At 46.3% G+C, this 13,580-nt stretch overlaps 1 protein-coding gene across 1 annotated transcript, besides 1 other annotated feature; it reads right to left on the bottom strand.

The window, feature by feature from the left end:
• Nucleotides 597-891: a silencer, noted in NCBI's record as "tiled region #12979; HepG2 Repressive non-DNase unmatched - State 10:DNaseD". NCBI's record gives its function as "represses a minimal TATA promoter and a strong SV40 promoter by Sharpr-MPRA in HepG2 cells {active_cell/tissue: HepG2}" and the evidence as "EXISTENCE:reporter gene assay evidence [ECO:0000049][PMID:27701403]".
• ZNF774 (zinc finger protein 774) lies at nucleotides 921-11,484 on the bottom strand. Its single transcript, NM_001004309.3, has 4 exons — nucleotides 11,357-11,484; nucleotides 9,004-9,126; nucleotides 4,811-4,917; nucleotides 921-3,725 (listed from the first exon to the last, which is right to left on the bottom strand). Exons 2-4 carry the CDS (start codon nucleotides 9,105-9,107, stop codon nucleotides 2,485-2,487), a joined length of 1,452 nt encoding a protein of 483 aa, NP_001004309.2. The 5' UTR covers nucleotides 9,108-9,126; nucleotides 11,357-11,484; the 3' UTR covers nucleotides 921-2,484.
• Nucleotides 11,485-13,580: the final 2,096 nt, after the last annotated feature.

Genomic DNA, 13,580 nt, shown 5'->3' with positions numbered 1-13,580 from the left:
GGTGTGATCTCAGCTCACTGCAGCCTCCATTTCCTGGGTTCAAGTGATTCTCCTGCCTCAGCCTCCCAAATTGGTGGGATTACAGGCACATGCCACCACACCTGGATAATTTTTGTATTTTTAGTATAGGTGGGGTTTTGCCATGTTGGCCAGGCTGGTCTCAAACTCCTGACCTCAGGTGGTCCACCCGCCTCGGCCTCCTAGAGTGCTGGGATTACAGGTGTGAGCCACTGCACCCGGCCTGAATCTGCATTTCTAAAAAGTTCCCAGATAATGCTGATGCTACTGGACTGGGCTCACAGTTTGAGAACCACTGCACTGGATTAACTAAAAAAAATTTTCTGGTCAATTATCTAATGATGCTTTCAAAAACTGAGGTAAGGTTATCAGCTGAGTTCTATCCTTCATGAGCCACAGCACTCAGATGGCATTCCATATAATGGAAGAGAATGAAAGAAAAGAAACCTTTAATCCACCACTTTGCACTCTAAAAAGTGATAACTACCCAGCTCCCTCCTTAACCCCTTGCATTTGCGCTCACTCCTCCACCCCCATTCCACCAGGATCAAGGACCCCAGCACAGGTTCTTGCAAAGCTCCCTACAACTTAGACTACACCCTCCATCATTTCCAAATTCAGACTGGTTTAATGGATATAATATGGGTCCTCCAGTCCTGTAATGTCTCACAGGCACTGTAACAAATCCCAGAGCTGGTCTGTTGTTGCAGAGGAGGACTGCAGGCTGGAAATCTAGTGACTTGCAGCCAAATCTGGCTCTTCTGTTAACTACGTGGCCCATGATGAGTCATGTCATTTAGCATTTTTACGCCCTAATTTTTCAACAGTTTTTTTTTTTTTTAATCCCTCACTATGAGAGAAAAAGGAATACCTAAAGAAATATTAGCCAAAATTTTCTTGGAAAAAAGACATTAGCAACAGAATTATAACATAGAGATATTACATTTATAGTTAACCAACAAAGTGTGTGTGTGTGTGTGTGTGTGTGTGTGTGTGTGTGTATTTTTAGATCCTCACAACAACCTTGTGAGGTAGGTAAAACTTGAGGCTGGGAGAAGATGAAAGTCTGGCCAAATTAAGCGTCAGGGCCAGGACTCAAATACTTTACCTTCTCAATGAAGTCGGTGTTCTTTCCAACACACTTGCCGTCCCTCAATTTATTTCAATTGAATGTAGGAATGTACTAGTGCATAACCTGGATGGCCCTAAAAGGATCAGAGAATTATATTAACCTAAAACTAAATGGCCAATGACCCAGCAAATTAGAAAACAAGAGTTGCTTCCTTCAGCTAAATGCCAGGGAGGATCCCTGTAATATCATTTGACATTCTCAGCAATTTTGCTTCCACAATTTTATAGTCCTCTACCAGGTCCCTCTGGCTTGTTCATTGTAGGATATTTTCTCTGTGTCAGATGACAGCAAACCTCTGGTAGATACACTGCCATACACTGCCATTTAAAAGAGCTTCTGAAATTCTTTCAGCCTCCAAGTCACAAGACCGCAAACATCCTCTACGATAATTTGGCCTTGTCATGGCAGTGAGACCTCTGGTGACTAATGCCTGCACAGCACTGAACTGGCAGTGCATTTCCATTTTATTCAATTTGTGTATTCCAACCCCAAACCTTCTAGTTCCAATCTAATTTCTTTCACGTTCTGAGTTTGGGGCGGGGGGACTACACTAATAAATTTCTAATTGAGTAATAAGACTGATAAAAGCCACCAATCTTGTACTGAGTGTCTTTTAAGGGCCAGGTACTGCATTAAAGCCTTTATATAAGACCTCAACTATTAATCATTAATAATGATGGGACCATTTAGTTATTGAGCATCTATGTTGTGCCAGGCACTGTACTAGGTGGTGAACATGTGATCTCTAGGCCACATTTTTCTCACTTCTCATTTAGTAACTAGGCATCAACTTTTTAATTTTTTTGGAGACAGAGTCTCTCTCTGTTGCCCAGGCTGGAGTGCAGTGGCATGATCTCAACTCACTGCAACCTGCACCTTCTGAGTTCAAATGATTCTTCTGCCTCGGCCTCCCGAGTAGCTGGGACTACAGGCACGTGCCACCATGCCCAGCTAATTTTTGCATTTTTAGTAGAGATGAGGTTTCACCATGCTCACCAGGCTGGTCTCAACTCCTGACCTCAAGTGATCCACCCACCTTGGCCTCCCAAAAGTGCTGGGATTACAGGGGTGAGCCACCACGCCTGGCGGGCATCAACTATTAAACTCACATTTCCCTAAGAGTCAGTCACACACTGAAGGAATGCCTTTTGTATTCGGACCGTTATTTGGACCCTTTAAGTTTATCCTCTCTGTTATAACATAGACAAGAAAGAGGGAGAATAGATCAGGGCCCAAATTGAGCCACTGACGCCCAGGTTTTCTCTATTTGGGGTGCTTGAAGACAGTAGCAATGAAAATGTGCAAGGGAGCAGCTGAACACCAAAGACTACTTCCTAAATCAAATGGGTGTTTTGATGGCATAAAAGATGCGCTTTCTGACGGAAGCTCTTGTTACATTTACTACAGTGGAAAGGTTTTTCTCCTGTATGCGTTCTCTGGTGTGTGAGGAAATGGGAACGCTGATTGAAGGTCTTGCCACACTCAGGACATCGATAGGGCCTGTCTCCTAAGTGGATTCGCTGATGGGTAATAAAGTGGGAGCTCTGATTGAAGCTCTTCCCACACTCTCCACATTTGTAGGGTCTTTCTCCGGTGTGGATTCGTTGGTGCTTAATGAGGGCGGAGCTGTCGGCGAATCCTTTCCCACAGTTTTCGCACTTAAAAGGTCTCTCACCTGTGTGTGTTCTTTGGTGCGTGACCAAATGTGAGCTCTGACTGAAGCTTTTGTGGCAGTCAGGACAACTGAAAGGCCTCTCTCCTGAATGAGTGCTCATGTGAGCTACAAAATGAGAACTATCTCTGAAGCCCTTCCCGCACTCCGGGCATTTGAAGGGCCGTTCTCCCGTGTGGGTTCGTTGGTGCTTAATCAAATCCGAGCTCTGGCTAAAACTCTCCCCACAGTCATTACACCTGTAAGGCTTCACCCCTGTGTGGGTCCTCTGGTGAGTGATGAAATTTGAGCTTCGACTGAAGCTTTTGTGACATTCCAGGCACGCGTAGGGCTTCTCGCCTGTGTGGGTTCTTTGGTGCATTATGAGGTGTGGCTTCCGCCCAAAAGTCTTTCCACACTCTGGGCACTCATAGGGTCTCTCCCCTGTGTGGGTTCTCTGATGTTTGATGAGTGTTGAGCTGTCGCTGAATTTCTTCTCACACCCCTTGCATTGGTAGGGCTTCTCTCCTGTGTGTGTTCTGCGATGGGTGACAAGGTCTGAGCTCTGTTTGAAGCCTTTCCCACACTCAATGCACGTATAGGGCCTCTCGCCAGTGTGGGTTCTTAGGTGTCTTATGAGATAGGAACTCTGGTTAAAGCTTTTCCCGCATTCTGCACACATAGGCTTCTCTCCTACATATCCATCCAGGAGCTTGTTTAAATCCCTCTCCTGTGAAAAGGACTCCAGCTGGCCCTCTCCTGGAAGGGTTCCATGTTGCCCTTCTAATTCTAGGCCTTGCTCCCAGTTTCCTCCCCAACTAAGAGTATGAGAAAGATCTTTATTGGTCCTTTCTGAGGATGTTCCACATTGTTCTGCTGTTTCAGAATTGTCCTGATTGAGCTTTGCCACCTGATGCTCACAGTCTGAAAAATTAATGTAAGTAACAGAGAATAAAGTTATCAGTTATCAGGAAGGAATATCAGAAAGCAGTGACAAAGATTAAAATCCCTGTTTCTGCAGCAGACTGCACTTAATTCAACCGCTCTGTTTTCACTTTGTGAAAAGTTTATTGAGGTTCATTGAGCTGTCAGAACACGTGAATTCCTAAACTTTTTAAATTTTAAGATGGCCAGATGAATCTTGATATCCTTCAAGCGGAGACCACATATTGTCAATATTGTGCGGTTTCTTTAGAAGATATTATAGGTTTAGGCCAGGCGTGGTGGCTCACGCCTATAATCCCAGCACTTCGGGAGGCCGAGGCAGGCAGATCACTTGAGGTTGGGAGTTCGAGACCAACCTGGCCAACGTGGTGAAACTCCATCCCTACTAAAAATATGAAAATTAGCTGGGCGTGGTGGCGGGTGCCTATAGTCCCAGCTACTTGGGAGGCTGAGGCAGGACAATCACTTGAACCCGGGAGGCGGAGGTTGCAGTGAGCAGAGATTGTGTCACTGCACTCCAGGCTGGGAGACAGAGGGAGACTCCATCTCAAAAAAAAACATAGGTTAGACAAAAGTGAAATGCTTAATCAAAATGAAGACTTTATTTAGTCAACTACTGACCATTAAGTCAAATTTAAATGTCTGCTAGTGGCCGGGCGCGGTGGCTCACGCCTGTAATCCCAGCACTTTGGGAGGCCGAGGCGGGTGGATCATGAGGTCAGGAGATCGAGACCATCCTGGCTAACAAGGTGAAACCCCGTCTCTACTAAAAATACAAAAAATTAGCCGGGCGCGGTGGCGGGCGCCTGTAGTCCCAGCTACTCGGGAGGCTGAGGCAGGAGAATGGCGTGAACCCGGGAAGCGGAGCTTGCAGTGAGCCGAGATTGCGCCACTGCAGTCCGCAGTCCGGCCTGGGCGACAGAGCGAGACTCCGTCTCAAAAAAAAAAAAAAAAAAAAAATGTCTGCTAGTAAGAACAAAATTCTAAGGCAGCATTCCAAATTCTTCATCTAAACAAGGCTGAAATGCTAGATTTCCTTCCACTGGGGAGCACTCACATCTCACCTGTGTGGCTTTCCCTCGGGATCTTCCTCGCCTCAAAGTTTTGGAGTGGTAGGACCCATGGCTCTTCTTTCTGCTCCGGCTGGGAGATTACACTAGGCCTGGAAATTCTACACAGGAATGTAAACATAGGATGTGAGTCTGAGCCAATCACACAAGGCCTGAGCAAAATCCAAGCCCTACTCCCTGCCTAGGTATGGAAGAACACCTGGGGAGCTCTAACGTGTATTTGGTGTCATTAAAAAAGTGCAGCCATGGTACAGTGATAAAACACGGTGATTTCCCCAAAATGTTAAGAAAAAAAAGCCCTTTTCCTCCCATAAAGAAAAAAAACCAGACTCAGGTGACAGAAACTCTGAAGTAAATACAATAACCATTTCTGAAGGTACAAGGCTAAAGCTAAATATGGAGAGGATTTTATCAGAAACCAAGCCTCCATGACCTCACCCTTAGAAACAATGAAGGAAGTTAACTATAATGTTGGGCTTTAAAATTTTCCCAGAATGGCAGCAGTCAAAAAAGCCATGAGAAAAAGACAAACAGTTGTTAAGTAGCCTGTAAATATACGAAAAATGTTTAACCTCACTATAATCAAAGAAATTCCATTATAACAATGATACACTGAGGCAATATAGTGTAGAGGTAATGAGTGCAAACTCAAGAGTCACACTGCCTGGGTCTGAGTCATCATCCTGCCTCTTACAAGCTGTGTGGCCTTAAGAAAGTTACTTAAACTCTGTGTCTCAATGTCTTCATCAATAAAATAGGGATAAGAGGCCAGGCTCAGTGGCTCACACCTATAATCCCAGAACTTTGGGAGGCCGAGGCAGGCGGATTACGAGGTCAGGAGTTTGAGACCAGCCTGGCCAACATAGTGAAACCCCGTCTCTACTAAAAATTAGCCGGGCATGGTGGCACAGGCCTGTAGTCCCAGTTACTCGGGAGGCTGAGGCAGGAGAATCGCTTGAACCCAGGAGGCAGAGGTTATGGTGAATCGAGGTCACACCACTGCACTCCAGCCTGGACGACAGAGAGAGACTCCATCTCAAAAAAAAAAAAAAAAATTGGGATAAGAATAAGATCCATTGGCCAGGTGCAGTAGCTCACACCTGTAATCCCAGCACTTTGGGAGACCAAGGCAGTTGGATCACTTGTGAGGCCAGGAGTTTAAGAGCAGCCTGTCCAACATGGAGAAATCCTGTCTCTACTAAAAATACAAAAATTAGCCACGTGTGGTGGTGCACACCTGTAATCCCAGCTACTTGGGAGGCTGAGGCATGGGAATTGCTTGAGCCTGGGAGGCGGACGTTGCAGTGAGCTGAGATTGCACCACTGCATTCCAGCCTGGGCAACACATTGAGACTCCATCTCCAAAAAAAACTTCAATAAATGTTAACTATTATTGCTATTTTTCCCAGACTCTTTTTTTGTGTTTTGTGTGTGTGTTTGTTTGTTTTTGAGACAGGCTCTTGCTCTGTCACCCAGGCTGGAGAGCACTGGTACAATCACAGTTAACTGCATCCTCGAGCTCCTGGCTCAAGCGATTCTCTCACCTCAGCCTCCCAAGTAGCTGGGACCAGAGGCACAAGCCCCTACACCTGGTTAATGTAACTTTTTGTAGAGACAGGGTCTCATTATGTTGCCCAGGCTGGTCTGGAACTCCAGAGCTCAAGTGGTCCTCCTGCCTCAGCCTCCCAAAATGCTGGGATTATAGACATGAGCTGCCACACCCAGGCCCAGACTCTTTAAATTATAATACCCACTGTGAAAGGTAGAATATAAAGAAATGCGCACTTTCATATAATGTTTGTGGGAATAAATCAATTGATTCAATCTTCTTGGAAGGCATTTTGCAAAGTATTAAATACCTTAGAAATGTATCTGTTCTTTGACCCACCAATTCTAATTCTGAGAATTCTAAGAAAATGATAAAATTATACTTCAATAAAAAATACTTTTTAAAAAACGAGCTAAAAGATGTTTATCACAACCTGGTGAAAGTTTAGAAATGACCTAAATGTCCCACAACAAAGGAATAATTATATAGCTCACTGCAGCCTCGAACTCCTGTGCTGAAGGGATCCTCCTGCCTCAGCCTCCCAAGTAGCTCAGGCAATTGCTATTTTTATAGGTTAAAAAAAGGTCAGATATATGGTTCAATCTAATGTTTGACTTCATCAACAAAATAATATTGTATTCCATAAAACAAAATACTAGGTGGTTATTTTAAGTGATGTAAAGAAAGATATACTCACAATACAACATGGAAGAAAGAATGTACAGCTGAATATACAGCATAATCCCAATATTATTCTTTTGTGCTTCTTTTAAAATTGTATATATGCTTAGAAAAATGCTGGTAGGATAGTAACTCTTCATTGGTGGGATTAGGGATGATGTTTGTTTTCATTTTGCTTGACTTTTTATTGAATGAGTATACATTACTTGTATAATAGATGAAGTAGGCCAGGCGCAGTGGCTCACACCTCTAATCTCAGCACTTTGGGAGGCCAAGGCCAGCGGATCACTTGAGGTCAGGAGTTCAAGACCAGCCTGGCCAACATGGTGAAACCTCGACTCCACTAAAAATACAAAAATTAGAGCTGGGCCCACTCCTATAATCCCAGCACTTTGGGAGGCCGAAGTGAGCGGATCACTTGAGGTCAGTAGTTTGAGACCAGCCTGACCACATGGAGATAACCCATCTCTACTAAAAATACAAAAAATTATCCAGGAATCGCTTGAACCTAGGAGGCAGAGGTTGCAGTGAGCCGAGATCATGCCATGGCACTCCAGCCTGGGCGACACAGCGAGACTCTGCCACAAAAAAAAAAAAAGAAAGAAAGAAGTAAAGCAGGAGGAAGGGTAGCCATGATATTTGAGAAAGAGCATTGGAGGTGTTTTTGGTTTTTTTTATTTATTTTTTTTTTTTTGAGATGGAGTCTTGCTCTGTCGCCCAGGATGGAGTGCAGTGGCATGATCTTGGCTCACTGCAAGCTCCGCCTCCCAGTTCACGCTGTTCTCCTGCCTCAGCCTCCCGAGTAGCTGGGACTACAGGTGCCCACCACCATGCCTGGCTAATTTTTTGTATTTTTAGTAAGACGGGGTTTCACCATGTTAGCCAGGATGGTCTCGATCTCCTGACCTTGTGATCTCCCTGCCTTGGCCTCCCAAAGTGCTGGGATTACAGGCATGAGCCACCGCGCCCAGCCTTGTTTTTTTTTTTTTTTTTTTTTTTGAGACAGAGTCTTGCTCTATTGCCCAGGCTGGAGTGCAATGGCGTGGTCTCAGCTCACTGCAACCTCCACCTCCCAGGTTCAAGCAATTCTCCTGCCTCAACCTCCAAAGTAGCTGGGATTACAGGCGCCCGCTATCACACCCAGCTAATTTTTTTATTTTTAGTAGAGACAGGGTTTCATCATGTTGGCCAGGCTGGTCTCGAACTCCTGACCTTATGATCCGCCCACCTCAGCCTACCAAAGTGCTGGGATTACAGGCGTGAGCCACTGCCCCCAGCCTGTTTTTAAGTGACAGAAAAAATTACCTCCTTTTCCACAAAGACCTCAGAAGTCTCAGAAGTTAAGTGGCAGAGGTGAGAGTCCAACCCAGGCTGGAAAAGGGGGATAGTAATACATAAGTCAAAAAGTTATGATGAGATATTAAAAGGACAATAAATAGCAAAGACATTTGCAAACCATAAAATGCATAAGGAAGTAATTGTTTTTCTCCCAAGGAGGCAACAATTAATCTTACAGAGGTCTGGAGCTCTAAGATGCCAACATACCAGAAACTCCTCAGACCTGGGCCCTCTCCAAATATCTAAGTCTCAAATTAAAGGAGAGCAGTGGTCAGGCATGGTGGCGCCCATAATCCTAGCACTTTGGAAGGCGGAGGCCAGTGGATTGCTTGAGCTCAGGAGTTTGAGACCAGCCTGGACAGCATAGTGAGACCAGCCTTGCCAACATAGCAAAATCCTGTCTCTACTAAAAACACAAAAAATTAGCTAGGCATGGTGGCACATGCCTGTGATCGCAGCTACTCAGGAGGTTGAGGTGGGAGAATCGCTTGAGCCCAGGAGGCACAGATTGCAGTGAATCGAGATCGCGCCACTGCACTCCAGCCTGGATGACAGAGCGAGACCCCGTCTCAAAAAAAACAAGATAAATAAATGAAATAAAGGAGAGTAGCATTCTTACCCTTTGAGAGCCCATTCTTCTAACTGTGCTGGGTGGCATTCCTGGAGAGGATTCTCTAAGCAGTGTCCAGGTAACCCACTCTTCCCTGAAGTCCCCAGCCACATTATCAAGCGTCATCAGTTCCTAAAGCAAGAGACCTCAATGTGCATCAGTAGCTCCCTAGATATTCTCACCATTGTCTGAAAGCCAAAAAATGGCCACCAGTGTACACAAACAACCCCCCACACCTGACCAGAATGGTCCTGAGGTAAATTCTGTCAACCACAGAGGGGTGCTTTTCTAAGTCTGTTTTTACATACGTCTTCTCCTGGCCAACTTTCCCATTACTAAGAGAGGCCTAGGCCTCCCAAACACATCGACAGAACCCAGTCTTTTAGACACATTGACTTTTTGAGGAACAAATTGTCCACGATGAACAAGGTAAACAAAGGAGAGAGTTGGCAGGTGTAATTTGATTTCTGGAAAGCTTTTGATTCTCCCCAACTTCATTTTCCTCAGCAAGCAAGGAAATTGTGGCCTTAACTATACTCATATTAGTTATGGGAGCAGCTAACTTCTTGGCTTGCAGATTTGGTGTCAACCTCAAGGGACAGATTATACAGAACCCCAAAGGGAACTGTGTTGGATACCATTCTATTTCAAGATCTTAATGGAGTCAGAAATAAGACTGAAAAAGACATTTTTTTTTTAAAAAAAAGAAGACATGGATAGGTTGTAAAAATAAGTGAAAGTGGGAATAAGCACAAAACACAACTCTTAGGGGCTGAAACCAATCATTAATATATTAATAAATCGACAGCAATATCATGAAAAACATTACTTTTTGGAGGATAGTCAAGAGTGAATTACTGGATGGATCAGTCATTTATTCAACAATTAATATGTTGCCAGGCATAGGAGTCACATAGAAATTAAGATAATGTTTTTTCCCTTAAAAAGTTTCCAATAAACCAGCCTCAGCAACATATTGAGACCTCTTTCTCTACAAAGAACTTTTAAAAATCAGCCAGGCATGGTGGCATGCACTTGTGGTCCCAGCTACTCAGGAGGCTGAAGTGGGAGGATCACTTCAGCCCAGGAGTTCCAGGCTGCAGTGAGCTATGATGGCGCCACTGCACCCCAGCCTAGCAACAGAGTGAGCCCCTGTCTCTCCCTTAAAAAAAAAAAAAATGCAGCCAGCATGACCACCCACTACAAAGAATATTGCATTTCAAGGGAGGAAGGACCAGACTGTGGTGAAGAAGTTTTACTCTTTCACATCTTTTGTCCCACTACAAATCACCTATTTACTACTGGAACACACACACACACACACACACACACACACACACACACACACTTTTGGGGGAAATATTTTTGTATTTACAGACATTATTATTGGTCATTTATAAAGTATTGAGTTTTTAAGGATCTAAAAACCATCTCTCTGGTTTAAAACTTTAACAAACAACAATAATGTAATTAGAAAGTAAAAATTGTAATAAGAGTTTTCAGTATTGGCCAGGTGCTGTGGCTCATGACTGTAATCCCAGCACTTTGGGAAGACGAGACGGGCGGATCACCTGGGGTCAGGAGTTCGAGATCAGCCTGGCCAACATGGTGAAACCCTGTCTCTACTAAGAATACAAAATTAGCCGGGTGTGGTGGCACACGCCTGTAATCCCAACTACTTGGGAGGCTGAGGCAGGAGAATCGCCTGAACCCGGGAGGTGGAGACTGCAGTGAAAGGAGATAGCGCCATTGCATTCCAGCCTGGGCAACAAGAGCGAAATTCCGTCTAAAAAAAAAAAAGAGTTTTGAGTATAATTTTTATTTCTACATTCATTACAAAACACAGCTGCAGGGCCCACTTGCTGGAGACAGCGCCACTGAGGAGGGGAGACGTCTTAGCCACGGTTATAGAAACCCTGTTTCCCAGCCCGTCCCTTTCCCCATGCACAGGTGACCTCAAAGGCCCCACAGCGCTGAGGGGCTGTGACTAAGTGCCACTGTGAGAAGCTCCAGTGCGTTCACCGGGTTTATTAATAGGAACATGACTGCACGCGTGGGGCCGAACCCCGTTCTTCTTCTCGGTGCTCGCGCCCTAACCGGGGTGCGGCGGTCAGAGGGTCACAGATCAGCTGAAACCCTGGGACCACCATCGAGAAGCAAGAAAACTGATTAAGAGAATGACTTATCCCGCCGACGGTATAGAGACCACAGCTACCTCTCCCACAGCCCAGCAAGACCCGGGGGCTCCCAAAGGCCAGCGCGGGAACCCCGCTGAGAAAACGTCTGGGTGGCGGGCAAGCCCCCTCCACGCCCCTCAGCAGCGCGCCGCTGCCGCCGCGGTCTCCCTCCTTGAATCACTCACCGCCCCAGGGCCCAGCCGGGGATGGAGCAGGAAGTGAGTCCTCCACCGCCGAGCCGCACCCGGCCCGCAACCCCGAGGCTGTGCCTCCCAGAACCCGACCGGGATTCGTGACAGGGCTGTGGGGACACAGGTGGGACTCCGGCTTCGACAGCCAGCGGCCGGAAAGTACCGCCCCCATCCTCTTGCTATTGGCTTTTCAGTTTCCATGGCTAGAATTTTTCTCTGTCCATAGGCTGATAGAGCTGTCAATTATCGCCTAGCCTTCTGGGAAACGTAGTCCCGAGCAAGACCTCAAAGGACTCGGAGCCGTGGATGTCCAGTTCCAAGCGTTGGAAAGTGCTAAACCCAATTCCCCAGCTACCGGTCCCCCGGAACCGCCTGTTTGGAGCCGAGGGATCTAAATGCTGTATCCTCACTGTGGCATCTGCAGATGTGAATCTCCTGGCCTCACCCACCTACCGCGGAGCAGCCTGGTGCCCACCATGAGGTCTCCCGCGCTCTGGCACTTCGCCCCTCCCCAGCGCAGAGCAGCTCAGCCCTCGGGCCTTTGCGGCCTCTCTTCTGCCCAGTCTTCCACCTCATCCCCGGCGGCCGGAGCCTGCAGGGTGTTTGCGGAGGCCAGGTCCCAGACCAACTCAAACTGGACATTGGAAAGGCCCAGCAGAAGCCCTTAGTAGAAAACAGACATTCCGCATCCTTCCCTTGGCATCAAACTCCCAGGCACATCCCCTTTCCGTCTGGTTGATAGCCAGAGGAGGCGGGCGAGGGCATCAAGTATTCTGGGAAATGTGATATCGGGCTTCAAACTGGGGAGGCTCCTGGGTCTCATGTGAGAGCCAGTGATCACTTTGGGTCGGCCCCTAGCTAAAAAACAACAAAGTCTTTCCTTAAAGTGAAGAAAATGTGCCTGTCTACTCCGTTTGTTGATTCAGTGCAATTTAGAAAAATAAAAGAACATTTTGTGATGTATTATAAAACGCTTAGAATTACCAGCCATAGAGTTTTTTTTTTTTTTTTTTTTTAGACGGAGTCTCGCTCTGTCGCCCAGGCTAGAGTGCAGTGGCACGATCTCGGCTCACTGCGAGTTCTGCCTCCCAGGTTCACACCATTCTCCTGCCTTAGCCTCCCGAGTAGCTGGGACTACAGGCGCCCGCCACCACACCCGGCTAATTTTTTGTATTTTTAGTAGAGACGGGGTTTCACCATGTTAGCCAGGATGATCTCCATCTCCTGACCTCGTGATCCGCCCGCCTCGGCTTCCTAAAGTGCTGGGATTACAGGCGTGAGCCACCGTGCCCGGCCCGAGTTAATGTTGAAGATCCCTTTGATGCTAATTCCACCATTCCTTCAACAAAAATAAGGTGCATTTTCCAGTGGATATTTATTGGGAACATTCTGTTCTCAAGATCGTTCTGGGGGCAGGGCGTGGTGGCTCACGCCTGTAATCCCAGCACTTTGGGAGGCCGAGGCGGGAGGATCACGAGGTCAGGAGATCGAGACCATCCTGGCTAACATGGTGAAACCCCGTCTCTACTAAATATAGAAAAAATTAGCCGGGCGTGGTGGCGGGCGCCTGTAGTCCCAGCTACTCGGGAGGCTGAGGCAGGAGAATGATGTGAACCCGGGAGGTGGAGCTTGCAGTGAGCCGAGATCGCGCCACTGGACTCCATCCTGAGCGACAGAGCAAGACTCCGTCTCAAAAAAGAAAAAAAGAAAGAAAAAAAAAAAAGATCGTTCTGGGAACTGTGATTACTCGGGAATCATACATAACCATTACCTTCATGAAGTTCACAGGCCAAAAGGGGAAATAAACCATAAAAGGTATCAAAATCCTAAGTAATTTTTTTTTCCATATAGCCAGTGGCATCTTAGTTATTTTGCTACACAATTATAGTCATCTGCAAGGTAACTACATTGCATTTTCGGAAACTCTGTCGACTATGAACAAATGTCTGGTTAGCAGAGGTAGTTAGACGTAGTTAGATTTAGTTAGACGAAATTGAGGAAAATGGAAATCTCAGAGGAGGTCAGTAACAAAGTAACACCCAGGAAACCTAGGGATTGCCAGTCCTCCTGTAACTGGAACAGAGTTCAGGACCTGGAGAACCGAAGGCATCTTCAGACCCCTCGGTAAGTCTTTCTAGCATTTTGCCATTAAGGAGATCATGAAGATTATTCTTCAATCTGGGACTGGAGTGGGGAGATGAATGAAGAGTCACAGAAT

This window comes from Homo sapiens, chromosome 15 (genome assembly GCF_000001405.40).
Source record: "Homo sapiens chromosome 15, GRCh38.p14 Primary Assembly".
NCBI classification, from domain to species: Eukaryota; Metazoa; Chordata; class Mammalia; order Primates; family Hominidae; genus Homo; species Homo sapiens.
This window is presented reverse-complemented; position numbering and strand designations above follow the sequence as displayed.

Excerpts from the sequence above, each read along its gene's own strand:
- ZNF774 (NM_001004309.3), bottom strand. The coding sequence starts at position 9,107 with ATGTGGCTGGGGACTTCAGGGAAGAGTGGGTTACCTGGACACTGCTTA. Across the intron at positions 4,918-9,003 it reads GAAGAATGGGCTCTCAAAGG|AATTTCCAGGCCTAGTGTAA; the intron begins GTAAGAATGCTA and ends ATTCCTGTGTAG. Across the intron at positions 3,726-4,810 it reads CCCGAGGGAAAGCCACACAG|ACTGTGAGCATCAGGTGGCA; the intron begins GTGAGATGTGAG and ends TTAATTTTTCAG.